The 27713-nt window shown below is 35.5% G+C and overlaps 1 long non-coding RNA gene across 8 annotated transcripts in view, besides 1 other annotated feature; it reads left to right on the top strand.

Moving 5' to 3' along the window:
- The window catches only part of LOC105379109 (uncharacterized), a 144274-nt gene that overhangs the window by 114589 nt on the left and 1972 nt on the right, over positions 1 to 27713 (top strand). For 3 of the 8 annotated variants that reach the window (NR_188304.1, NR_188305.1, NR_188309.1), the window contains one exon: positions 20688 to 20767. The exons of 4 other annotated variants lie outside the window; for them this stretch is intronic. This is a non-coding gene — a long non-coding RNA (uncharacterized LOC105379109). Of the gene's footprint in view, positions 1 to 20687; positions 20768 to 23197; positions 23314 to 27713 lie in introns of all 8 variants that reach the window. One more of the 8 variants, NR_188307.1, reaches the window with a different exon arrangement.
- Positions 8436 to 9032: an enhancer, noted in NCBI's record as "OCT4-NANOG hESC enhancer chr5:103985884-103986480 (GRCh37/hg19 assembly coordinates)". NCBI's record gives its function as "activates a minimal SCP1, AML or CMV promoter by ChIP-STARR-seq in naive H9 embryonic stem cells {active_cell/tissue: H9 hESC(naive)}" and the evidence as "EXISTENCE:reporter gene assay evidence [ECO:0000049][PMID:30033119]".

Below are 27713 nucleotides of genomic sequence, written 5' to 3'. Positions count from 1 at the left end.
GAATGTATAATGGTTGAGTGAGGGTATGTGGGGTATCCTTAATTTTGAATATGTATCACTTCTATGTGTTGGTGATATCCTCTCTTCTACTTTGAAATATATAATGCATTGTTGCTAACTATAGTCACCCTATTCTGCTACCAAATATTGGGGCTTATTTATGCTAGCTAACTATATGTTTGTACCCTCTGATCAACTTCTCTCTATCCCCATCTCCTACCCACACACCCTTCCCAGCCTCTGGAATCTATCATGCTATTCTCTATATTCATGAGATCAAGTTTATTAGCTCCCACATATAATTGAGAACATGTAATATCTGTCTTTCTGTGCCTGGCTTATTTCACTTACCATAATGATCTCCAGTTCCATCTCTGTTGCTGGAAATGATATTATATTATTCCTTTATATGGCCAAATTGTATTTCATTGTGTATATACAACACATTTTCTTTAACTATGCATCCATCAACGGACACTTAGGGTGATTCCCTATCTTTTCTGTTGTGAGTGGTGCTGTGATAAACATACAGGTATCCTTTTGGTTTAGAGGTTTCTTTTCCTTTGGATAAATATGCAGTAGTGGGATTGCTAGATTCTATGGTAGTTCTATTTTTAGTTTTTTGAGGAATCTGTATACCGTTTTCCATAGTGGTTGTACTAATCTACACTCCCACCAACCCTGTAGAAGAGTTCATTTTCTCTAAATCCTGGCCAGCACCTGGAATTTTTCATCATTTTAATAATAGCTATTCTAACTGCTGTAAGATGATATCTCATTGTTGTTTTGATTTGCGTTTCTCTGATGATTAGCGATGTTGAACATTTTTTCATATGCCTGTTGGCCATTTGTATGTCTTCTTTTAAGAAACGTCTAGTCATATTTTTAGCCCACTTTTTAATGGGGTTATTTTGTTGTTGTTGTTGAGTTGTTTGAGTTCCTTGTATATTCTAGATATGAATCTCTTGTCTGTTGAATCGTTTTCAAATACTTTCTCCTGCTTGACAGGTTGTTTCTTTTGCTGTGCAGAAACTTTTAAGTTTAATATACTTGGCATTGTATATTTTTCTTACAGTTATCTGTACATTTGAGATCTTAGCCATAAAATCTTTGCTTAAACCAACATCTTCAAGAATTTTCCCTAAGTTTTTTTTAGTAGTTGTATATAGTTTCAAGTCTTATGTTTAAGTCTTTAATACATCTTCAGTTTATTTTTGTGTATGAAGAGAGATAAGAGTCTAGTTTCATTTTGCATGTGGACTATCTAATTTTCCCACCACCATTGATTGAAGACACCATTCTTTCCCACTGAATTTTTATGGTGTCTTATCAAAAATCAGTTGGTTATGAACATGCAAATTTGTTTCTGGATCCTCTATTATATGTTCCACTGGTCTATGTATCTGTTTTCTCTACCAATATCATGGTGTTTAGTTACTATAGCACTGTAATATATTCTGAAGTCAAGTAGTGTGATGCCTTTGTTTATTGTTTTTGCTTGGGATTGTTTTGGCTATCTGTACTCCTTTTTGGTTCCATACAAATTTTAGGATTACTTTTTCTAATTCTGTGAAAAAAATGATGTTGGTATTTCGGTAGGGATTGCATTGAATCTGTAAACTGCTTTGGGATTGTGGCCACTTTAATGATACTAATTCTCCTGCTTTGCTAGCAAAGGATGTATTTCCATTTGTTTGTGTCCTCTTCAATTTCTTTCATCAGTGTTATTTTTAGTTTCCTTGTAGAAATCTTTCATTTCTTGGTTAAATGTATTCCTAAGCATTTATTTCTTTTGGAACTATTCTAAATAAGTTGTCATCTTGATTTCTTTCTCAGCTACTTCATTATTGGTGCATAGAAATACTACTGATTTTTGTATGTTGGTTTTGTGTCTTGCAACTTTGTAGAATTTATTTATCAAATCTAAGAATTTTTATTTCTTAGGTTTATCTACATATAAAATAATATCAGCAAAGAAGGATAATATGCCTTTCTCTTTTTTAATTTGATACATTTCATTAATTTATTTTCTCTTGCATTGACTGCTCTAGCCAGGACTTCCAGTGCTATGTTGAATAAGAGTGGTGAAGATAGCCATCCTAGTCTTGTTCCATATCTTAGAGAGAATGCTTTAAGCTTTTTCTCATTCCGTATGATGTTAGCATTGGGTTTGTTATATATGACTTTTATTATTTTGAGATATATTCCTTCTTTTTCTAGTTTCTTGGGAGTTTTTTTAATCAGAAAGGAAGATTGAATCTTACCAAATGTTTTTCTTCATCTTTTAATATGATCGTATGGCTTTTGTCTTTCATTCATGTGATATATGATGTTTATTAATTTGTATATGTTGAGTTACCCTTGCACTCCTGATATAAATTCCACTTCGTCATGGTGTATTATCTTTTTAATGTTCTGTTGAATTCGGTTTGCTAGTATTTTGTTTAAAATTTTTGTTTCTACATTCTTCAGAGATATTGGCCCATAGCATTTTTATTTTGTTTTTGTTTGGTTTTGGCATCAGGTTAAAGCCAGTCTTGTAAAATGAGTTAGGGAGAGTTCCCTCCTCTTTAATTTTTTTGGAACAGCTTCAGGAGCATTGGTATAAGCTCTTCCTCATATGTTTAATAGATTTTGGCTGTGATTCCCCCCAGTCATGGACTTTTCCTTTTTGGAAGACTTTTTGCTACTGATTCAATCTCACTACTTGCAATTGATCTATTCAGGTTTTCTATTTCTCTCTGATTCAGTCTTGGGAGGTTGTATGTTTCCAGGAATTTACTGATTTTCTCTTGATTTCCCAGTTTGTTAGCATACAGTTGTTCATAATAGTCTTGATGAGCTTTAGTATTTTTGTGGTATTAGCTGTAATGTCTCCTTTTTTCATTTCTGAATTTGTTTATTTGGGTTATATCTCTTCTTTCTTCATTAGTCAAGCTAGTTGTTTATCAATTTTGTTTATTATTTTGAAGAGCAAACTTTTTCTGTCATTGATAGTTTTTATTGCTTTTTTAGTCTTTATTTTATTTAGTTATTCTCTGATATTTATTACTTCTTTCCTTCTACTAATTTTGGATTTTGTTTGTTCTGGCTGTTCTAGTTCCTTGGGGTGTATCATTAGGTTGTTTACTTGAAATATTTCTACTTTTTGATGTAGACATTTATTGCTATAAACTTCCCTCTTACTACTACTTTTGCTGTATCCCACAAGTGTTGGTATGTTGTGTTTCAATTTTCTTTTTTTCTGATATTTAAAAACTGTCTACCTTAATTTCTTCATTGACCCAATGTATTAGTCCATTCTCACACTGCTAATAAAGACATACCCAAGACTGGGTAATTTCTAAAGAAAAGAGGTTTAATTGACTCACAGTTTAGCATGGCTGTGGAGGTCTAAGGGGATTTACAATCATGGCAGAAGGGGAAGCAAACATGTCTTGCTTCACATGGTGGCAGGAGAGAGAAGAATGAGAGCTGAGTAAAGCAGGAAGCCGCTTGTAAAACCATCAGATTTCATGAGAACTTACTCACTATCACAAGAATAGCATGAGGGAAACCAGTCCCATGGTTTAATTATCTCCCACTGAGTCCTTTCCACCACACGTGGGGATTATGGCTATTACAATTCAAGATGAGACTTGGGAGTGGGGACAGCAAAACCATATGATCATTAAGGAGCATATTGTTTACTTTCCATGCATTTGTAGAGTTTCCAAAGTTCCTCTTGGTATTGGTTTCTGGTGTAATTCCATGGTCTGAAAATATACTTCATATAATTTTGATTTTTAAAATTTTTTTGAGACATGTTTTGTGGCCTAACATGTGGTCTATCATGGAAAATGTTTCACATGCTGATGAGAAGAATGTACAATCTGTAGTTGTATACAATTCTCTGTAAATGTTTGTTAGATCCATTTAGTCCAAAGTCTGGATTAAACCTAATGTTTCTTCATTGATTTTCTTTCTAGAGGATTTTTCTAATGCTGAGAAAGGGATGTTGAAGTCTGTCACTGTTATATTGTTATATCTCCCTTTATCTCTAGTAATAATTACTGTATGAATCTGCATGCTCCAGTGTTGGGTGCATATATGTATATTTAGGATCATTCTTTTCTCTTGCTGGATTAATCTCTTTATCATTGTATAATGATCTTTTTTTTTTTTTTTTTACTTTTGTTGCTTAAAAGTCTGTTTTATCTGATATAAACATAGCTACTCCTTTTTTGCTTTGGCTTTTTTTGGTGTGGAATATCTTTTTGCATCCTTTTAGATTGAGTCTATAAGGTTTTTTTTTAACAAGTAAAATGTATTTCTTGTAGATAGTGTATATTTAGATTATGCTTCTTTATCCATCACTCAGGCTATATCTTTTAAACATAGACTTTAATCCATTTACATTTCAGGTTATTATTGATATGTGAGGTTTTGTTTCAATCATATTGTTGTTTTCTGGTTGTTTGTAAATACATTTTTTTCCCTCTCTTGTTGTTTTCACTGTGGTTCCGTGGTTTTCTGTAGTGGCACCATTCAAATCCTTTTTCTTCCTCAGTTGCATCTTTGGTTTGTCAGTGCATTTTATACTTTAATGGGTTTTCATTATGGTAAATGTCATCTTTTCACTTCAAAGTTTAAGATTCTCTTGATCATTTATTTTAATGCCAGTCTAGGGGTAATGAATTCTTTCACCATTTTCTTGTCTGAGAAAGATGTTACATGTCCATTTATGAAGGATAATTTTGCTGGATATAGTATCCCTGGGTGGCAGTTTATTTTATTCTTTCAGCACTTCGAGTACGTCACCCCATTCTTTCCTGGCCTGTAAGATTTCTGCTGAGAAACATGCTGTTGGTCTCATTGGGGTACCTTTATAAGTGACTGGATGCTTTTCCCTTGATACTTTTAGAATTATCTCTTTGTCTGACTTTAGACAGTGTGACTATAATATGCCATAATATAATTCTGTTTAGTTGGGCCCCTGAAAAGAAGACTTTTTACATTATATGTGTTTGGAGGACTTTGAGATTCCTCTATCTAAATGTCTAAGTCTCTTGCTAGATTTGGGGATTTTTTTAATCTATTATTTTATTAAATAGGCTTTCTAACCCTTTCATTGTCTCTTTGCTCTCAGGGACACCAATAATTTGAATATTTGATGATTTTATGTTGTTCCAAATACATGAATGCTTTGCACATTCTTTTTAAATTTATTTTTGCTAATTTTTGTCTGACTGGATTATTTTTAAACACCTGTTTTCAAGTTCTGAGAGTCTTCCTTCTGCTTAATCTAGTCCATTATTGAAGCTTTCAAATATATTTTTATTTCATTCAATGAATTTTTTGATTCCAAAATGTCTGTTTTGTTCTTTTTTAAATATAGACCTCTTCAGTAAATTTTTCATTCATATCCTTGTTTGTCTGATATCTTTGTTTTTTTTTTTTTTTTTTTTTCAGAATTATCTTGTATCTTACTGAGCTTCTTTAAAATCAGTATTTTGAATTCTTTAGGATTTTGTGAATTTCTCTTGGATTGAGTTCTGTTACTGGAGAATGGTTTTATTCCTTTGGAAGTATCATTTTTTTTCCTTTTTAATATTTCTTATGTCCTTACATTGATATGTGCATATCTGGTATAATAGTCATTTCTTCCAATTTTTTGAATTTGCTTTTTTATGGGAGGATTTTTTCCTGAAGACATATATGTGGTTTTGGTTGAATAGGGTACTTTGCCTTTGAATTTGTGCCCATGCAATAGTGTATGTAGTCTCTGTGTTATTTCTTCAGCTGTAAACAGTATCTGTGATTTCCTTGGTGTTTTGGGGTGCACTTATAAGTGGGGGCTGTGATGAAGCTTTTCTGGGACTAGAATACCAGGTGGGCGAGTCTTCAGGCTCCAGTAGCGTCAATGGTTAGCTGAGTGTGCCTGTCCTTGAGCCCCAGAATTGTGTATGCTCACTCTGTTGTTACAGAATCAAAGCAGGCCAGTTCTTAGGCCTCCCAGTGGCTTGCTCATATGCCAGTAGTGACAGCAGTGGGTAGGGGTGGACTGGTTCTTGGGCCCCTGGACAGTGAGTATGAAGTGGACAATTGCGACAGCAGTGTTAAGGCAGCTGGCCTTGGTGCTGGTAGTGGCTGCAATGAGATGGGCAGGCCAGTTCCATGGCCTACTGTTGTCACATGTGGGTGGGTGCCAGCTGTGGTGACATTGGCATGTTTGGTCAACCCACTCTCAGACCCTGAAAGGAAGGTTGAGATGCCAGTGGTGATGGACTGGGGTGGGAGATACTGAACTGTATACTGGGTGGATGGGACTGGGCTGGCAGACTTGCCCACAGGCCACCTGTAAGTGTATTCAAGTGCTAGCTGATAGTCATGGGTGGAGTGGTCCCCACGCTGCTGGCAAAATGCTCAGGTGGAGGCAGTGGTGGCTGCACTGTGTGTCAGTCCCCAGGGAGGGCAGGGCCACTTTCAGTGGGAGTAGCATAGGTAGACAGCTGTGAGGCTTGTGGTTTGCTTGTGTCTGAATCGCACAAAAGACCACAACAGTGGCAGTATGATTAGTCTTTCGGGTGTGTCAAGGTGCCCGGCATTCCTTTCTCCCTCCTTAATCCAGTGGTAGAATCAGCAGCATTGGCCCCAGGGCAGGACACCATCCTTTAAGAGATTAGTTCTCAGAGTGGCACAATGCAGCAGCTGCTCAGGGCTCCAAAGCCTGTAGGGCTCGGTGTGAGCTCTCTCTTTGGAGCAATGCTCTGCATAATTTCTATGTAGCTCCCTATGTTGGTCTCCAGACCCACAAGAGTTGAGTTGCTTTCCTGTGGCTAGGATTGTAAAATTCCATGGAGGGAATGTGGAGCCCTGCAGGGGTCACTCACCCTTTCCCTGTGTCTGGGAACTTTTCCCAGTTCCTGGCCATTCCTGGCTGAGAAGGCTGCCTTGCCTCCCTATCCTTTCCTTTTGTTATTTCCTTTGTTAAATTCACTTCTTCATTAAATTCTGGGGTGTTTTTCTTAGATAATCTATTCCAAATACGAATATCTACTTCCTATTTTGGTTTTCTTTGTGGAAGTAGGGCTTACTGGCTGCATCTAGTTGGCCAAGTTGACCATCTTGCCTTCAGCATCTATACACTTTTCTCATTTTTAAAATGAGAGAATAATGATACTTTACAGCGCAGGAGTGGGAATTAAACGTGATAGTGCTTACAAAAAATTTGCATTATCTGCTCCTTCAATAAATGTTAGCTAAGACCTGGGACATAGCATTGCTTAACATATATTTTATGCATGAGACATAGCATCTTTAGGAAAAACTGCTGGAAGCTGCTTTCCTCAGAAGTAGATTATGGACCCATCAGGCATTTAGAGCTTCACTGGTGCCTTTTCAGGGCAGTACTGATCATGACCCGATCCAGCTTGACTAGATGAAAACAATAAGGCCAGGAATTTTGAGTGACTTGTTTAGCTTACAGAGGCAGAACCAGAACTACTAAGTATTCTGACTCTCATCTTATACCTGTCATCTTTCTTCTGTGTTCTACTTATAATTTAATATACATTAACCACTATAATTTTCAAACGAGGAGAAAAAAATAAAATAGCATTTTCAGATCTCAGCAATAATTTTTAAAATCTGTAGGGAGAACATTACCTCACCTTGAGAACTGAAAAAAACATTTCTCAGTCTGAGGGAATATAGATTTTGTAGTAAGAAAGAATCAGTCTCAGTTTTCTTTATCAGCCTCTCATAATGGTTGTGAGACTCCAGAGAATAGCCAACACTCTGGAGAATGGAAATGGCTGGGAAGTACATCAAAACAGAGAGGCCTATAGGCAGTCTAAGAAAGTCTTCAAGCCTCACGTTTATCTAAAAGTAAAATCAAGCTTTTAGATCTAAGGAGCCCTACCTAAATGATGTTGTAGGCTGAACTCCCCTGTGCCCAGACTCCCCCAAACCTATCTAAGCCAGATCAAGTGCTGCAAGGACTAAACTCTATCCTTGTGCCCTCAAGCATTTGTTTTATTCTTCAGTCTAAGGAACTTTCAGAATAAATCTGGGTCTTTGTTAAGGAGCACCTTGATCTGTATCAGACATTTAGTTATTTGTATATTATTTATTTTCATGGTGAGTTTTACTATCCAACTACAGTATTTCTTTGTTCTAGTAAGTCCATTCTTTCAAAATGTCTTTATGTTGTGTAGCAGATTGTGTTTTCCAAAGATAGCCACAATTCTGTAATGTGACCTTGTCGCTCTCCCTCCACCCCATAAAGAGCTGGAGAATATTTCTCCACTATCTTGAATCCGGGAAGGCCATGTGACTGCTCTGACAATAGAATAAGCAGAAGAGGTGCTGTGCCTGTTTCTGCTCCCTACCTCTTGGAAGCCATCTATTCTGTAAGAATTACGGCTTCTGTTAGAGCCCCACATTGTGAAAAAAAAAAAAAAAGAAAAAAAAACCATGGAAGAACTGTGGAATATAAGATGCCATGGAGACAGAGAGAGAAAGAGAATAAGAGAGAATGAAAGAGAGCAGTAGGACAAGGAGAACCAAGGTGCCAGATATTATGTGCTTGGAAATAATGTTATTACTTTCACATTTCTATACAGTCAGGGCTTTCTAAGCAAAGATTGCTGGGGGCTGGGGAAGAGGGGCAGGTCAGTAAATAGCAACCCTAAAGAAAGAGACCTTCAGAGAGGTTAACAGTTGTATCTCTCAAGAGTCATTTATTTGCATTGCAAATGGTGATGGGCCTAGAAATCTCTTCCTCTCCCTGGAGAGCATTTTATTTATATTCCAGAGAAAAGGCTAGGCCTCTTTCTCTCTCTGTCTCTCTCTCTTTCTCTCTGTAGAAAGGAGGAGGGGGTAGTTACATCAGCAAGTTTTATAAGCTCCAATAATTCATAATTATAAGGTTTCTCTCCTTTGGTTCAAGCCTCTTGAAGGAGCAGGGTATATCTGGCCCTCACTGTGTCAACTGGAAAGATAATCAGGGTGTGGTGAGCTGGTAATAAAATCACTGTGTGAGCCAATAATCATTGTGTTCCCTGATCTAGAAACCTCATGGTGCCAATCAGAATCAATAAATATACATAGAAATAAAAACTTAACAACTATTTTGTTTTGAAACCATTTTGGAAGTGGATCTTTAGGACCCAACTCTCTCAGCTGCCACTACCTGGATCAGAGACAAAGTGCCCAAGTTTGTCCTTTTGAGTCCTTTTCAAATTTCTGACCCAAATAATCATACAAATACAATGATGGGGTGCATAACAACATTTTGATTAATGACAGACCTTAGAAAAAATGGTGGTCCCATAAGATTATAACACTGTATTTTTTGTTGTACCTTTTCTATGTTTAGATACACAAACACCATTGTTCTACTCTTGCCTACAGTATTCAGTACACCAGCATGCAGTGCAGAGCAATAGGCCATATAGCCTTGGTGTGTAGTGGGCCATATGATCTAGATTTGTATAAGTACATTCTATGATGTTCACACAACAACTAAATCCCTTAATGATACATTTCTCAGAAACTATTCCCATTGCTAAGTGTTGCATGACAGTAAAAGTTTGTTTTAAATCGTTCAATTTTGAAGTAGTATTTTACAGAGCAATAAGTAGTTACAAAACTGCAAATGATTTATAAAAATGCTATATAGTCTTATTGTCAAAACATTCTTTTTCCCACTTATTTTAAATTATTACATATTTTTGAATACTAATGACCAGGATTCCTTATAAGAGTAATTTTGTATTGCAACAGAACATTCCACCTCACTTTATCTATTTTATTTTCTGACAATATTTTAAATTTTTTTTCTCACAGATACTTTGCATATTTAGGTAAAATCACCCTTTGATTCTCTCTTTATATTCCACATCTTTCCTTTATCTATGCATGTGTGTGAATGTTTATATGTATAAATGCACATAACTATTATATAAATGCTCTTTTACTCATGTGTTTATTTATGAGTGCATTTGTTTATTGTTTAATGGAGTAATAGCTACATTTTACCATTGTCAAGTAAATGTGATACAACTTGCAAGAGAGACTACATACAGTATTTTGGCATGTATTTCTCAGTTCAGAATGGAGACAAAGCTATCCTTTTGAGTAGTGCAACTAGAGGCACATTTATTTATGGAAAATATGATTGGGCATGTATCTCTAAAAATAGAACCCAGGAAATAATTGGAATAGCATTAATGTCAGTTGCCTTCTTTTCCACATATGGCACTTCTATTATTCTGGTTACTTGACTAACATTTCATTATTACAGCATTATTTTACTAAGGAAATCAATTGCATTAGTTAAAAGTGAAAATGAGGCCTGGCGCGGTGGCTCACGCCTGTAATCTCAGCACTTTGGGATGCCGAGGCAGGCGGATCACGAGGTCAGGAGATCGAGACCATCCTGGCTAACACAGTGAAACCCCGTCTCTACTAAAAATACAAAAAAAAAAAAAATTAGCCGGGCGTGGTGGCGGGCGCCTGTAGTCCCAGCTACTCGGGAGGCTGAGGCAGGAGAATGGCGTGAACCCGGGAGGCGGAGCTTGCAGTGAGCCGAGATCGCGCCACTGCACTCCAGCCTGGGCGACAGAGCAAGACTCTGTCTCAAAAAAAAAAAAAAAAAGTGAAAATGAAAAATTGTAAACCTCATCAGGAAGTTTAGCAGTGTTGGATCCTTGTCTTGACTCTGCCTGTCTTGGCCAAGGGTCTTTACACAAACCATATGAAAGTCATTTGAGTATTTGTTCTCAGTTTCTTCACCTAAAAACTAGGAGGAAAGTTTATGTGGGAGTGAAAATCTGTCATCCATAAGAGAGTGGATTCATAGAAAAATAAAATGAACAAGAGCTGTTAGTAGAAGCAGATTCCTAAGAGAGTGATGGAGAGGAAATGAGTGGAGAAAGGCCGGAAAATTGTGAGTGAAATAATACACATTTTCTACCTCATACTACAACCTAGAAGTTCCCACCTCACACTTTCCCAACCTAATCTTGGGAAAGATTAATTCTTAAAAACAAAGAATGTCCTTGACAGGAACACAACAATTTGCTTCAGTGAGTGAAAACAATAAAAATGCTTGACGATCACACCAGCTTTAAAGGAATAGTGTTAAATGAAGGAAGGTATTTTGAGTACGGATGGTAAGAACCCTAAAATGGACACAATATCAAGATCTTTTTCAGATGTTCTCACCTTTGGATTCATGGACCCATGAACTTCAAGTTTTTCATTAATCTCCTGAAATTGTATGCAAAATCCGTGGATATGTTGCTGGTTTCAGAGAAGCTTTATCTATCTTTTATCAGATTCTCAACTAGTCTGAGTTAGAAATAAAGACTCTCCATAGATTTCTTCAAAGTACTTCAAAGGCAGTGAGTGTAAACATGGAAAGTTTGGGAAAAGCTTGATAAACGGGCCATACCTTTTTTACCGCCATTTCTTATTACAAAAGATTAAAATGTGTAACTTTAAATCATAAACTTGCGTTAAAATGTTGATTTTATAAACAGATTTTTGTACTAAACAGACAAAATGAGAGCCATTGACCAACCTAATTGTATGTCACTTTAGCCTTTCCCCGGAAAGTTAGAGTTTTGATGTAATATCATACTCATTGCTGTACCAGTTGGAATAGCAATGGAGAAAAGCCCCAGTTCAGTGGTGATGGCCTTGCCCAGATGAAAGTGTTGATTGGTTGCAGAGATACATGACCTTAGGAAGTATGCGCCTCCATTTCTTGAGGTGGAGATATGGCTATAAAATTTTGTTGACAAAGTCTGCTGGCAGATCATTTATTGCTAAAATAAATAAGTGGAAAATGCTACAGAAAATGTTAAAGAAAAATATTAATTATAAATTCATTTTTCACCAAGTGTGAGCACTGAACTCTGATTCCAGTGACTGAATGTAGAGTTTAATATTAGGATGCTTTTTACAAGAGAAAATTCATTTGGTAAAAATTAGTGTATTATTTCCAGAAAAGCTGAATAAATTCCAATTTGAGTTATTAGTCTCTTCCCCAAAATAGGAAATTCTTTTTTAATGTATAGCTACAAGGAAGCTTTTTGCAAGGCGTATGGGGGATAACTGTATTATGTGCTCAGATTAAATAGTTATTACATTTTCAGTGAAGATACTGATCCCAGTAGCAGCCAGGCATATGAGTATTTAGTATAAAGAATTACTTGGATATTTTAATAAGCCCATGTTTTTAGATTCAATATTTCTTGTCCCGGCTAAACAGTACAAATACCACTTGGGTACAGATAATTTTAGACCTTTATTGCTTGATTAAAATATAGATAATTTGCCTTATCTATTCTTTTTCGTGTGATCAAATTTTGCTTGTGGGAACATTACATTTACCTCATTTTCTCCCATAACTTCAGAACAAAACCAAAGTTGTTTTGCATGTAATGTTTTCTTGTAAAGTAATATTATTACTCCGTCAGCACTCAGTGGGCAAACATATTTTTCAACATTCCTCTTTTAATTAACTTGTCTTGCAAACAAAGGCTACCAGATGAACACAATTTATCCACAGCATGTATTTTCAGCTAGGAGGCAGATAATTATTGCTCACTGCAGAAATAATGTTCTCCTACTTGCTCATGTAAAACAAACTTTAAATGTCATTTTACAGCGATAAAGATTACACAGTACAGGGCTGTCGTAAGAGAGGACAATTATCCAGAGGAACTTCTCATTAACCTGAAGGTCAGGGGTGAGAGATGATCACCAGCTCTGGCTAACACAAACTTAAATTGCCCTACTCTAAATGTGATGTCCTCATAATCACAAAAGTGGGGACAGTAAAGACTAAACAGTTATTGTGATACATTTCTAAGCGGGATTATACATGGAAACTGAGTTAGTACCTGCAATCTTGCCACGTATGTTTGGGGATCAGAACATGTGGTGTGGAATAAAGAGGCTTTGGGAGAGAATTGCCCTCTTTAATAAACTAGTGGCAGTTCAGCATCATTTAAATGTATTGTTTCAATTAATCACAGCAATTGCAAAGTGATCCTTAAGCATTGAGAGAAAATTGTGCTTTCAAACAGAGTGCCTCAAGTCTGCCAACCTTGCTGAGCTGTTCTGCAGCATTTTAGAAATGCATATGATAGCAGGAAGCACTGGAGAAAATCATGCCTACTCATATTTGAGCTGGAAATTAATTTTCTAAGCTGTGAAGTTCTTCAACTTCTTTTGCAAAGCTAGGTCACCTGTTTTCTTAATCTAATCATCTAACCTTCCCCTAAAGCATAGAAGTTTACTTTTCTTTGCATTAAGTTCTACCCAGATAAGCAGTGCAAGGAAATATCCTACATCTTTAATTCTAACGCTCCATAAATTGTAAGGCAAACAATCATTTTAGTAATAGTTTTCCAGGGGGAACATGAAGAAAGAAATGCTATCATACAACGCACGTGGATTAGTGTTTTACTGAAAGTTTATTGCCAAACAATTCATGCTTTGTGGTAGTTTGGGTGAGCCTTGTCTAGAAACAGTCTAGCCAGAGAGAAAATTCTAAAACTGCCAGCGCAAGCATAACAATAATATCTGTTAGGGTGTTGCATATTGATATGAAAAGGAGATGGTCAGCTCTTGGGTGGGAGACCTCACAATCTGCTAGCCAGAATAAAGGCCACATAGGAAGATAGGAATTGATCTATTTAACTTACAACAGAAAGTAACTATCTCTTGGTGCAATAAGAAATCTCGGAAAATGAAGTTGGTTAGCACAACCTGGAGCAGGTTAATCTTCCTGGTTTAAGAAAGGCAGAGAAAAAAATAATAGAGGCTTCCCAGTTCATGTAAAATTGGCAGCCACCTTGGAAAGGAGATTAAAAGAAGCCCTAACATTGGCTTTGAGCTTGAGAATCTTTTCAATGACAATTCACGTCTCAGGGTTGGAGTTTTTATAATTCTTCTGCAAGAAATAATAACAAGAAAAGCACTTAAAAATAAGCTTCTAGAGAAAATAATTTATTTGGCTGTATTCATAAGGGGAAAGGGTTCAGTTGAGAAAGAAACACATTGCTTAATCATAAACACCTTGTTAAACTGTAAATACAGTATGTTCATAAGCCATAGGAATCTGAGGGTGGGAGGCTGGGAGGCTTTTATCCTTAAGAGTCCTAGGAATAAAAAGAAATGAGGGTAGAAAGCAATAACAGTGGTAGTGTTTGCATCCTAATAAGTTGGTCCTGGGTTCAGAATAATTTCAAATATCAAAGGTATCAGAGATACCTGTCTTTGTTTATTTTAACAACAAATCATACATTTTATAATGTAGTAATCATGTCTGCTATTTTTTAGGCTACATAAAAGGCAGTTAAAGAAAAAAGCTTAGAATACTAACTTCTGGAGGATGAAGTAAGAAAGTAAGAAGTATAAGATGAAGAAAGAGGGACAGATTCTAAAGAAGTGTCATAGAGTATTTGCTCTGGAACTACATATAGGTCAGCTTGAAGTTGAAGTGAAATATAATTTGACCTAGCTCTTTCTTAAAACAAACTCTGATATTCTGGGCCTTTCAGTGTGATGATTAGTTGATGCATACTTAAATCAGTTTGTGCTGGTAAGCTGACAAGAAATCAATACCAGGAAAATCCATCGGCTCTGCTTCACATGTGTGTAGTTTAACCATGATTACCTAGCACCTGATTGATTAACTTAACTGATGGTCATGAACACATGGGGGATTCTACTAGACGGATGCTGGTAGAGGACATGATTTTTGTGCTTTGGGGTCTGTGGCTGCAGCCATACAAGTGCATGAGCCTTCCTCACCAGGCTCCAACCATGATCATGTGCCTTCTTGTGCCGAGGGCGGGAGCTCTCGGAGCCCTCTGGCATGCTCTAACCCTTCCCAAGAGGCAGAGGGACCCCTTCAAAAAGGCACTCTAGACTCTTCTAAATATTTGAATATTCTCTAAATTCTACACATTTTAACTACTGTGTATGAAAAAAATAATTCTTACTTTATATGTTATACATTAAAGCTTTGTTTTTATACAGGAAACTTGAGAAAAGTCCTCTGAGTTGTTACAGAACTTAAAAAATGTGTAGTAAATTAAATATTTTGTAAAAAGTTCCAATATGTTACATTATTTTAACTTATCACAAAAACCACATTCACCTGTTTTTTTAAGCTACCTTTGGAAATAATTTCAATGCAATTAACTTAATAAGAGGCTAAATTTTACAGAAATATCTTATTTAAATTTGAAATAAATAGAACTTGATGGAGAAATAATTATAAAAATATTTCTATTTCTGTCTTCATGTCTTCACACTTTATACATAAAATACCATTATCAATTTTAAAAATAAGGCATATAATTTGATGTGACACTAGAATATGTCCTGGAGTGAAGAAAATTAAATGTAATCCAAGCAAATCTTTGAGCTAGTTTTGCTTAATCACATCTGTACACATCTAATGCAAAATTTTACCCACTTCTTTTATTTAATCTTCCCAAGATGTGTTTGTATGCTATAGAATGAGCTGGGTCTTTAAAATCTGAAATTAAAATACACTGAAACAAGTTTTCCTTTAAGCAAACTTTTTTCTCATACCTAAGGAGGACAGAAGGAAATTAACTAAAGAGTGGATGACATGTAAGACATGAAACAGGACCAGATTGCAACATACCCTGGTCATCCTCTGTAGCTCACACTCAGGATTGTTTGGTAAATTCTTTGCTTCAGTTGTCTGGTGACGAACCGTGCTGTTTCTTCATGTGGGGGAAAAATGACTGAAAGCCAGTACGCACAAAAAAGAGACTTGTTTGCTTGCTTATTGTTTTTGTTTGTTTTTACACAGTGCCTTTTTTTCAAAGAAAATTCCTTATTTAATGACACAATTTGACAGAAACTAAAACATCAAAAATTGATTAATTTGATTAATAATCTGATTAAGACATCCCCACTGTAAATAATGTTTTAGCTAATTATGCTAAGAATAAAATGTATTATTTCTACTTCCATGCTGTTTTCTTTATTTTTTCCTCTAAATCTTTACTTTCTTTCTTTTCTTTTCCCTTTCCTCCCTCCCTTCCTTCCTTCCTTCCTTCCTTCCTTCCTTCCTTCCTTCCTTCCTTCCTTCCTTCCTTCTTTTCTCTCTTTCCTTTTTTCATTCCTCTTTTTATTCTTCAGGAAATATTTCCAATAGCTTAAAAAATTTTTTTTAATTCGTTGGAATAAGATGAAGTCAGCATGCTGCCAAAGGATAGCAGCACAGTATGCATTTAATTTAATTAAACAGAAAAACACATTAGCTTGCCCATAAAGTAAGGATAGAACGTAAAGAAAATTTTTTTTCTCTTATTGAAAAGATAATTTTCAAAATTCATGAACAGTTTAGATGTTAAAGTTCATGGACCGGTTTATTTCATTATTGTGTTTTTATACATTCATTAGGAATCAATGTTTTAAATATGTTTTTTATTATGATTTTATTTGGTATTTTATTATTTTTGACACTTGAAGTAATATAATAGTAAAGAGATGATTAGGGAATCATCAAGCATAGTGTATTATAAACATTCTATCAATTAAATTTACATATTATGTCATTTTGGTCACAAATATTTCCAGGAAATTGGAAATTATACAAAGTATAATTAATAATTGTTTTTCTTTTGCCTCTATTGCATCACTTCCTATTCTTCCAGCAGCAATCTTTATTTTCTTTTGTGCATTTTCTTCTTCCCCAATCCCATATCATACATTCCTGGTGAAGCTCTGCCAGAAGCCGCAGGGATAGCCATATGGTACAGACCCAGATCTATGGACATATCCTAAATTCTTGGCCACAGCCATAGCATCTATAAAGGGGATATACCTAGTGGAGGATATGCAGCCATATATATCTACTTCACTTAGACCTGAGAAGAGGAAAGAGCAGATGTTCCATTTTACCATCATGTGATACCTAAGAGTAGAGCTGGTTCAGAGAAAATGGAAAACAGAAGTGGAGCTAGAGCAACAGGGCTTGATGGTCTTACTGAGCTCCTATCTCATTACCCAAAGTTAGATAATTTATTAGTCCATGTAACTAACTGCTTTCCAGTATATGACCTAATGAATTCTCTAATTGCTAAAACCATTTTGAGTTTTATTTTCAGTCACTTGCAAGTAGCAGGATTATAAATGATCAACTTGTTTATTTACACTATCCAGATCATAACTTTTGGATTAACTCTTGTTTCAGATGAGCCAAGGACTGTGAGATATTAAAAATAGCATTTTCAGACCTTTACAGTGTTCTCTTCTTTGAAGCATTACAAAATATTCTTTTTAGAATGGTTCATTGACAATATTTTAGTACTGTGTTTAGTACTTTGATGTTTAAACTTATACAGAGTTCGGGGGAAATTGTTTTCTAAGGCTTTAAAGAGAGAAGCTTTTGAGTGTTTGATATGTTTTAAAATGCCTCTTGAAATGTGACAAGCAACTGCCACTGGGCTTTTCTTCCTGTGGCCTGTTTATATGGATGGCCTTTCAATGTACATGATGAATCTGATAAGCTTTTCAGAGGCAGGAATAAATCATACATTGCACAAAATTCTTTTATACAAGGCAACTACTAGACCCTTTAAAGATTATCAAAACGTTCTTTCTTAGCCCATTCTTTTTCATTGAGGTCAACACAGAAATTAAAGAAACAGAAATTAAAGAAATTAAATTAATTTTCTGTTTCCAAATATAGTGCCAAATTACTAGATTTACTTTGTTAATTATACTAGTCATTTTCTTCAATTGAATTTAATTATATGACTGGTAAGTTTTGCATTCTCTAGACAAAACCACAATTTTTCTATTTGATTTTTTTTTTTTTTTGGTTTTTGGGAATGTCAGAATCAAATCTCTGTTTTTATCTGTCCTTAAGAAAAAATGAGAGAGAGAACTCTCAGTTTTATCTCTTACTAAAGAATAATTAGCTCAAACCTGTTATGATTTACAAATGAAATTCAAACAGAGAAAACTACAATTTTTTGAAAGTCTCCACTTTTTACAACAATCTTATAGTTTGACAAAAAGTTTTCTTTATTTTATTATTTAGTTGATAATCCGGTAACTGATTGTCATGAGTTGTGAATATACAGAAATATTTTTGCTTTAGACTAGGTTTATTTAGCTGCCTAAGAGATTAATTAAGGACTTATTTACATTTTTATCACTGCCTCTTTAAAACTGATTATTTAATAAGAGCTTTACAACTAATCAACAGTCTTCAGAATAACCTCTTGTTTATACATTTCTCATCAAACTGTATTTTCAACAGCTTTATTCTTATGGTTTCTGATGCTTTTTGCTTTGTTTTTTGAAGTCATAAAGAACAATTTTTCTGCCCCTAGAATTGCTCTGCTTAGCTAAGGGCATGTTTAATAATTTGATTTTACATGGAGATGTCTAAAATTGGCAAAAAAATGTGTATTTTTAAATGCATAATTAAAATAAATTAATATCAGGTAAATATTAAAAGATAAATGCAGAGATAACTAAGGTATAGTTTATTCTAAAATAATCAGATATAAGAATAATAAGATATATTAATATTTTAAAATATAGTTTCCTATATTCCAAAAGTACACACTGCTAGGAGACAAAGACCATATATCTGGTTTCTTATGGAGTGAGGATGGGGTTATAACCAGGTTGTTAGTTCTCTAACCCTGATATTTCAATGATAATTAGTTATGAGAATTCCTTCATTTTACATATTGGACTTCTGTCTATGATTTTGTTTGACTAAAGGGCTCTGTGGAAAAGTAAATAGGTAGACAAAATAAAATGTCTTAATTTATACTGCTAAACAATTTATAAGGCCAGCATTTCTTATTCTAAAACTACTGATGCTAAGGATTCTTAGATTCTCCTCAGCTAATACCAAAAATTGATGCATGCTATAGATGTTTAATTAAGACCAATGAATCCTACAGAAGACAACAAGACATGTAGGCAGGATACTTAGAAGTTAGAAAATTCATGGCCCTACAACTCAAGAGTTAACTCGTCCATAAATGTCTTTCTTGCCACCTTTAGAAGAATTAGACAGGACTCGTTATTTCTGCCTATTGTAACTTTGAAACACTTTTAGTAGTTATGAATGCTGCTTCATTTAACTCATTTATAAAAGCTATTTCCCCTTTGACTGTAAATAGTGGCCAGGTAGGATCAATACCTTTCTGTCTTGCTAGGCCATGTACCTACAGTAGGTGCTCTATACATTCCAGTGGAATGAATGGACACATTTTACCACTCCATTTCCATTATGTGGGTGCATTTGTATACTTATGTACCCTCACTTGGAATAATCCTCTTGTATTTCACACCTATATAACTCTTCCTGTTCATTCTTCAGAATGTGGCTCAAATGTTATTTCCTCAGTAAGAGACTACTCCTGCAAATCCTATGTCTCCCACATATTGTTCTTTTGTGTAGAATTCTTACTGTATAAAACTATCACAATTTGTAAAAATACATGTATTCCTGAATTTGCTTATTTTATGTATTTCCTCCTATCACAATGCAAGCTCCAGATGGAGCAGAAACATGATTTGTCTGTGTGTGTGTGTGTGTGTGTGTGTGTGTGTGTGTGTGTGTTCCTAGGACTTAGCCCCATGTAGAACTTATAGTTGCTCTTAATATGTATTTCATGTGTAAGTGAAATTACTAAAACAATACTACTATTTAAAGTAGTAAATAAGAAACCTTTTGATTTAAGACACATTGTGCTTTAATAGCAACATCTCCAATACTTCTTCATGAAGGAAAACCATTAAGCACAAAACAGGAAAGAAAAGCCTTTGTGCATATAGCTAATGCATCCTCAGAAATGAAAAATCAAGGTCAAAAACAGAAGAGAATGTCTGAATGTAGTATTAAAGATGGTTTTGAAGACCTTTCACAACCTTGCTTTACAAGGAACCAGCTGCCTTACTCAAGAATCACAATACTATTTAAACAATAAAAATAATGCCCACTTAGTTTACCCATTAGTTGCTATGTCAAGGAACACTGTAGCTCAACATCAATGTTTTTATAAAACTCCTTTGTGTCTCTCATCCAAAACTGGATTTCTAACAAAGACTAACATGGTGAGACCTGATTGTCTTACTCTTGGTTTAGAGCTGTGGAAGGGTAAGCCTCACATAGAGCAAATAGGGGATGAAGTGTTTCCTGAGACAGAAACACAATTGCAAAGATCCAATGGGATGAAAGAACTTTGGAAAATCTAATAAAATGAGGGCCCTCATTAGGTATGTGTTCTTTTATCTATATTCTTGCCACAGATATCTAAGTGCAAATGTGGGAGTCCCCCTCTAGGGAAAAGGTGTAATGGTTTCAGATGGGAAGAACTCCTCTTTTGCCCCAGTGCATTTCATCATTTTTTTTTTCATGCCTGCCTACCAGCCCTGAAATGCTACTTTTACAATTATAGGTTTCTTTTATGAGACAGATGAATAAACATCTAACTTATTTATGCACTAAATAAGGGAGAAAGGCAACAGGAGAGAAAGTCTACTACGGTATTTCACTACAGTACATCAAACAATTTATCATTTATTTTCAAAGTTACAGTTGTTAAACTGAGCTTATGTCATTTACTACCTTGCTTTAGCCTTTCACTTCTTTGAAATTTCTTTTCTGACAGATGTCAAGGAACTTTCCTCCTGATTGATTTTCTACATGCTTTATCTCTCATCCATCTAGTCCCCATTTTCTCCTTTCACTGTAAGTCCAAAATATCAAGTTTATTTTCCAAAAGCTAACATATATATTTTTATATCCTTAATAATATTAATCAGATTTTGATTGTATTGTACCAGAAAGTTTGACCTAATTTTAATAGCTAATTGATCATGTTGTGCAACATATAAATGATTCATTTACAATGGTTCAGCCTCAGATTATTACTCTTCACTTTAGCCTTTTTAATAGGAACTGCTCATGAAAATGATAAAATACTGGACAGTTTTCAAACCCTTCTTTCATCTACTCTTTATTTGCTCACGAATACTTCTTTGTCAGTATGTAAATTATGAAAATAATAAACTTTGTGACATGAAGGTGATTAAGTGGCCATGGAAAAGCATCTGCAATTTTGAAATAGCATCAACCTTCCTTTTTTGAATTAGGTATTCACGTATCACCTCACTAAATGCAGTCATGTATTGCTTAATAACAGGGATACATTCTGAGAAATCTGTCATTCAGTGATTTTGCCTTTTATTGAATATCAGAGTATACACAAACCTAGATGGTAGAGCCTACTGTACACCTAGGCTACAAACCTGTATAGCATGTATTGAATACTGGAGGCAATTGTAACACATTGGTAATCACTTGTGTATCTAAACATAGAAATGGTACAGTAAAAATATAAAGATTAAAAATAGTACACCTGTATAGGACACTTACCATGAATAGAGCTTTCAGGCATGGAAGTTGCCCTTGGTGAGTCAGAGAGTGAGTGGTGAGTGAATGTGAAGATCTAGGACATTTCTACACACTTCTGTAGACTTTATAAACACTGTACATCAGGCTAAAGCAAACTTATTTAAAATTTCTTTCTTCAATAATAAATTAACCTTAGCTTACTGTAACATTTTACTTTATGACTGTTTTAATTTTTTTAACTTTTTGACTCTTCTGTAAGAACATATGGTGTAAAAAAACACTTGCACAGTTGTATAAAAATAATTTCTGGGCCGGGCACGGTGGCTCACGCCTGTAATCCCAGCAGTTTGGGAAGCCGAGGTGGGTGGATGACAAGGTTGGGAGTCCAAGACCAGCCCGGCCAAGATGGTGAAACCCCGTCTCTAATAAAAACACAAAAATTAGCCTGGCGTGGTAGTGGGCACCTGTAATCCCAGCTACTCGGGAGGCTGAGGCAGGAGAATCGCTTGAACCCGGGAGGCAGAGGTTGCAGTGAGCCAAGGTCATGCCACTGCACTCCAGCCTGGGTGACAGAGCGAGACTCTGTCTCAAAAAAAAAAAAAAAAAAAAAACAAACTCTTTATATTTTTATACTATAAGCTTTTCACCTTTTAAAAAATATTTATTTTTTATTTATTTTTTGTTAAAAACTAAGACACAGAAACATATTTTGGCCTAGGCCTACACAGGGCCAGGGTTATCAATGTCGCTGTCTTCCACCACCTCCCCATCTTTTCCCATTGGAAGGTCTTCAGGTGCAATAGCACACATGGAGCCGTTATCTCCTATGATAACAATGCCTTCTTCTGGAATACCTACTGAAGGCCCTGCCTGAGGCTGCCTTACAATAGAAGTACACTCTAAAATAGTGATAAAGTGTATATATATATGTAAAGAAGTGATAAAGAGGTCCACTCTAAAAAAGTGATAAAAAGTATATATGTGTATATGTACTTTTTGTATATATACATATGTGTATATATGTATGTGTGTGTGTGTGTATATATATACATACTTTTTATCATTATTTTAGCATAGTCATTTCTTGTGATCAATTATGTCCCATACTCAATTGTATGTGTCATACTTTTATATGACCAGTCACACAGTATGTTTGTTATACCAGTATCACCACAAACATGTGAATAATACGTTATGCTACGATGTTATGAAATCCATGCTGGCACTAGAAAATGAATTATTAAGCTCTATTATAATGTTATAGGACCATTGTCATATGTGGTCCATCCCTGAATGAAACATTATGTGGCAGCACGTGATTATAGTTAGGTAATGGACCCCTTTCTCTATATTTTTATTTTCTAATTGCCATCTGTTTTTATAACTTTATAAGGAAAGTTTTAATTTTCCTTATAAAATTCTTTCTTCCAGTGGTTTCTGTAACATCAACTCCAAGGTGTTTTATTTTAATGTTTTTAAAATAATGCAAATATTATTCTTTCCACAAAGCGGGATAGAAACAAGTACCTCAATGCATAACATATGAATTATTTTATTAGTAAACTATATCACTTACCAGAGGTCAATATTCCTTCTCTCAACCCAAAGATTATCCATTAAGACATCCAGTAAACATGTGATAGGAGCAGGGGCTGGTATGGATTTCTATATCCACCAAGTACACACTAGGAGAGGTGAATACAAAATCAAAAGCAATTCCCACTTTAACAAATGATGTGTTTGTTCACATTATCACCTGAACAGAAAATGCCTTTGGAGAGCCCAGCTGTAGTGGCAGCAGCAGTACTGTAACCATGAAACTCTGAAAAAGTTTCTTCTATATAGTAAAGAAAAATACATCAAGGCTCCACTTTTGTCAAGTATGTTATCGTATGTTTAACTTAGGAGAAAATACAGGAAGACACACTTGCAAAATTTTTGTGGTGTAAAATTTAGTGCTACAAAATCAATATTCACTTGTTCAAAGAACAGATGGATCAAACTTAAGTTGAGTACATCAAGGAAGTGTCTAAGGCAGCATGGGAATGTGATTAAAACTCTGAGAAATGGGTAGATCTTTGAAAAAAGAACTGGGAAGGGACTATAAAGAAGAGAAATGATCAGAATGAATAAAGACTCATATCCAATAAAGTATATATTATTTTAGGAAACATTAACGAGTTGATAAGAATACAGGAAGAACATTTTTAAAGTTTCTATTGTTCTCATCTCCATTACAGTGATCAGTCCTATGGGTTGTATTATTGTTAAAATATTTGCTATCCTTCCCTTGATGTGGAGCATACTTCTCAATTCTGTTGATGTCATCCTTGGACATGTGACTTATTCATTCATATTTTTGACCTCAGAATGAGTCATGTGAATTGCTTTGGTCAGTGACTTGTGAAGTGAAGTACATACATAACTTTCAAGTTAAACGTTAAAAATTAGTTTGCCTTTGCCATATTTCTTTTAAAGCTTTTCTGTAAGACTAGCATGGTGCCAGATATAGGCTGTTTTGTCATCCAGACGACAAGGAGCAGAGCCATAGCTGACCCACAGTGGATATAAAATATAAAAAATAAGCTTTTGTGGTTGTAAGCCACTGAATGTTGGGGTTGTATGTTAGCCTAAACTGACTGGTAGAAATTTATCAAGGAATTATTTAAGAAAGAAGAGACTCATTAGTTAGATCCTGAGCCACAGACAGTATTTCCACAAATAAAAGTTATAAGATATGGTAGATATTATGAAAATTGGCAAAAACAAATGAATGTGGTAATGCAGGAGTCCCCAGCACCCAGGAGCAGACCGGTACCTGTCTGGGGCCTGTTGGGAGCTGGGCCACACAGTAGGAGGTAAGTGGCAGGCGAGCAAGTGAAGCTTCATCTGTATTTACAGCCTCTCCCCATCACTCGCATTACTGCCTGAGCTCTGCTTCCTGTCAGATCATCAGTAGCATTAGATTCTCATAGGAGCACAAACCCTATCATGAACTGCACATGTGAGGGATCTGGGTTGTACACTCCTTATGAGACTGTAATGCCTGGTGATCAGTAATATCTCCCATCTCTCCCAGATGGGACCATCTGGTTTCAGGAAAACAAGCTCAGGGCTCCCACTTATTGTATATTACGGTGAGTTGTATAATTATTTCTTTATAGATTATAATGTAATAATAACAGAAATAAAGTACTCAATAAATGTAATGCACTTGAATCATCCCCAGTGCCCCCCCACTTCCCACTACCAGTCCATGGAAAAATTGACTTCCATGAAACTGGTCCCTGGAGACAAAAAGGTTGGGGACCGCTGCACTTCAGGGCAATGAGTAATAGAGTTTGTTAGAGCCCAACAATTTTTTTCTCAAAATCCTTAAATTATTTTCCTCTGTTTGTTCATCTGTTTTTTCAAATTTTTCATTTTTAACTTTTTTTAAAAAAGGGTTCTCAATGTGTCATTCATGTTGGAGTCCAGTGGCACAATCATAGCTCACTGCAGCACCAAACTCCTGGGCTCAAGTGATCCTCCCACCTCAGCTTTCTAAGTTGCTTGGAATTCAGGCATGCACCATCAGGCTTGGCTAATTTTATTTTATTTTTGTAGATACACAGTCTCACTATGTTGCCCAGGCTGGTATCTAACTCCTGCCCTCAAATAATCCTCCCACTTTGGCCTCCCAAAGTGTTGGTTGAAATTATAAGCCTGAGCCACAATGCCTGGCTCTTTTCCTCTATTTAGAAATAAAGTTTTGAGCTAAAATTTCTTCTTAAAAAGAATGATCTGTATTAATCAAATTTACCTCATCCAATTTTTGATAACCTTAGAATTTTGTAAAACAGTAAGCATTTGTTATCAATAATTATTCACAGTTATTCTAAAACTTGAGGAATGTTATGAAAAAAATGTTTGCAAGTGGCTTAATAAAGATGAGCCGTACATGTGATGATGATAAACATTTTAGCCAGATGAAAAGAACAGAAGATACTTATTTGAGTACAGTTTTGAATAAAATCAATAGTGGTATGAATTGGTAAAAGGGTTACTTCATGTGTTACAGGAAAAATGATTCTAAACTCTGTAAGGTTAAACATCTGCATCTTTTCAAAAATGTTTTTGGTTTTTATTTTCTTTAATTTATACAATCAATATATCCCATGGTAAAATTTTTAAGGGAATTATTGGGAAAGGGTAAAAAGCAAAATTCTTTGAAACTGGAGCACCCTATATTCATCAGATAAGCAAGCCTCTCCATTACCCTTCTGACAATGTAAATGCTGTCACGATCTGACCTGGCCCCAAGTCAGATCAAGCAGTCATAAGAAGAAAGCAGTTTCAGAGGCAAAGCTGGCCCTCAGCTTTGGGCAGGGTTACATGTAACTGAGAAGAGCCCAGAAATAATGATTATCTAAGGCCCAAGACAATGGGTCACATACAGCTCCTTTAAGGACACAAGCAGAGGAGCATTGTTGGGTGGCTGCACCCAGACTATTTTTTGACACAGAATTCATGATAGAATGTATTAGGCAGATATGCATATTAGATCATAAGGTAACATAAATAATTAAAATATTTTCAATTACAGTTTCACTAAACATTTATTAAAAGTATTATGAAGGCCAGGCATGGTGGCTCATGCCTGTAATCCCAGCACTTTGGGAGGCTGAGGCCTGCGGATCACAAGTTCAGGAGTTAGAGACCAGCCTGGCCAATATGGTGAAACCCTGTCTCTACTAAAAATACAAAAATTAGCTGGGTGTGGTGGCGCACGCCTGTAGTCCCAGCTACTAGGGAGGCTGAGGCAGGAGAATCACTTGTACCCAGGAGGCAGAGGTAGCAATGAGCCGAGATTGCGCTACTGCACTCCAGCCTGGGCAACAGAGTGAGATTTTGTCTCAAAAAGAACTATTATGCAAATATGTGACTTATGGTACCTAGACATATTAAATTTTCCATAGTAGAATTATCTTAAAGATTAACATCTGGATGGACAATAAACCAAGAGTATCAGGGAAAGTTATTACAGGATCAATTAGAAATGTTCATTAAATCTTTCCTTCTAGAATTCCCCAGCTAAAGACAGACTCTTCATCTTTTAAATTTTCTGAGTGTTTTCCCTTATGCTTTTATTGATATTGATAATGTCTACATAAGATTCTATATTATTTAATAAAGAGCTAACATTTGAATAGCAGACACCATGTCTTATTACATTTGTCTTCCTCACTATAATTAGCACTGAGTTTTATCCCTAGAAAATACTCCCTCTCTCTCTCTCTCTCTCTCTCTCTCTCTCTATATATATATATATATATATATATATATATATAAAATTTAGAAAAATAGAGGTTGAAACTAGATAAATACATTTGATTCAAATTTCAATAACAATTACATTATAAAATAAGAAATATGGATAAGATTGGCCAGGCATGGTGGGTCATGCCTGTAATCCCAGCACTTTGGGAGGCTGAGGCGGATGGATCACGAGGTCAGGAGTTCAAGACCAGCCTTGCCAAGATGGTGAAACCCCGTCTCTACTAAAAATAGAAAAATTAGCTGGGCATGGTGGTGGATGCCTGTAATCCCAGCTACTCGGGAAGCTGAGGCAGGGAATTGCTTGAACCCAGGAGGTGGAGGTTGCAGTGAGCGGAGATCACACCACTGCACTCCAGCCTGGGTGACAGAGCGAGATTCCATCTAAAAAAAAAAAAAAAAAAAGAGGAAAAAAACAAAAGAAATATGGATAGGATTGTGGTGGGATTTGAGTGTGGGAGTAATCAACAAAGATTTTGAATAGGAGACTAATATAATTAACATTATTTCAGGAGATTTTCTTTTGAAGAGAGAAATATAGAGAGAGAAATTATATGGAGGCTAAGACCAGTAGCAGCGGCAATAGAAAGAAATTGATGCAAAACTGAGGGAAAAGGCAAAATAGGGCTATTCAGCCCATAAAGCCAGGGGATTGCTCTGTACATGTCAATGGCTTAGCACAGTGCTAGGACAGGATAATTTATAAATTCATATTTGTTTAATGTATCAGTAATATAGTTTCTGATAGAAAGCACAGACACAAAAAAATAGAAAAAAGTGATTCCAAGCATCTTATGTTTTACTTAGAAAATAACCCTCCATTAACAAAAATAGAGGAAGAAAGAGAAGTCTTAATTTAGGGATTAAAGAATAACAAGTTTACCTGAGAAATACCCATGAAACAATCCACTGGCAATAGTTAGTAAGCAGGTGAGAGGTGAAACAGAGTTAAGGACAAAGCAGA

This window comes from Homo sapiens, chromosome 5 (assembly GCF_000001405.40).
Source record: "Homo sapiens chromosome 5, GRCh38.p14 Primary Assembly".
Lineage (NCBI taxonomy): Eukaryota > Metazoa > Chordata > Mammalia > Primates > Hominidae > Homo > Homo sapiens.
The sequence above is the reverse complement of the archived record's forward strand: the minus strand, read 5'-3'. Positions and strand labels throughout refer to the sequence as shown.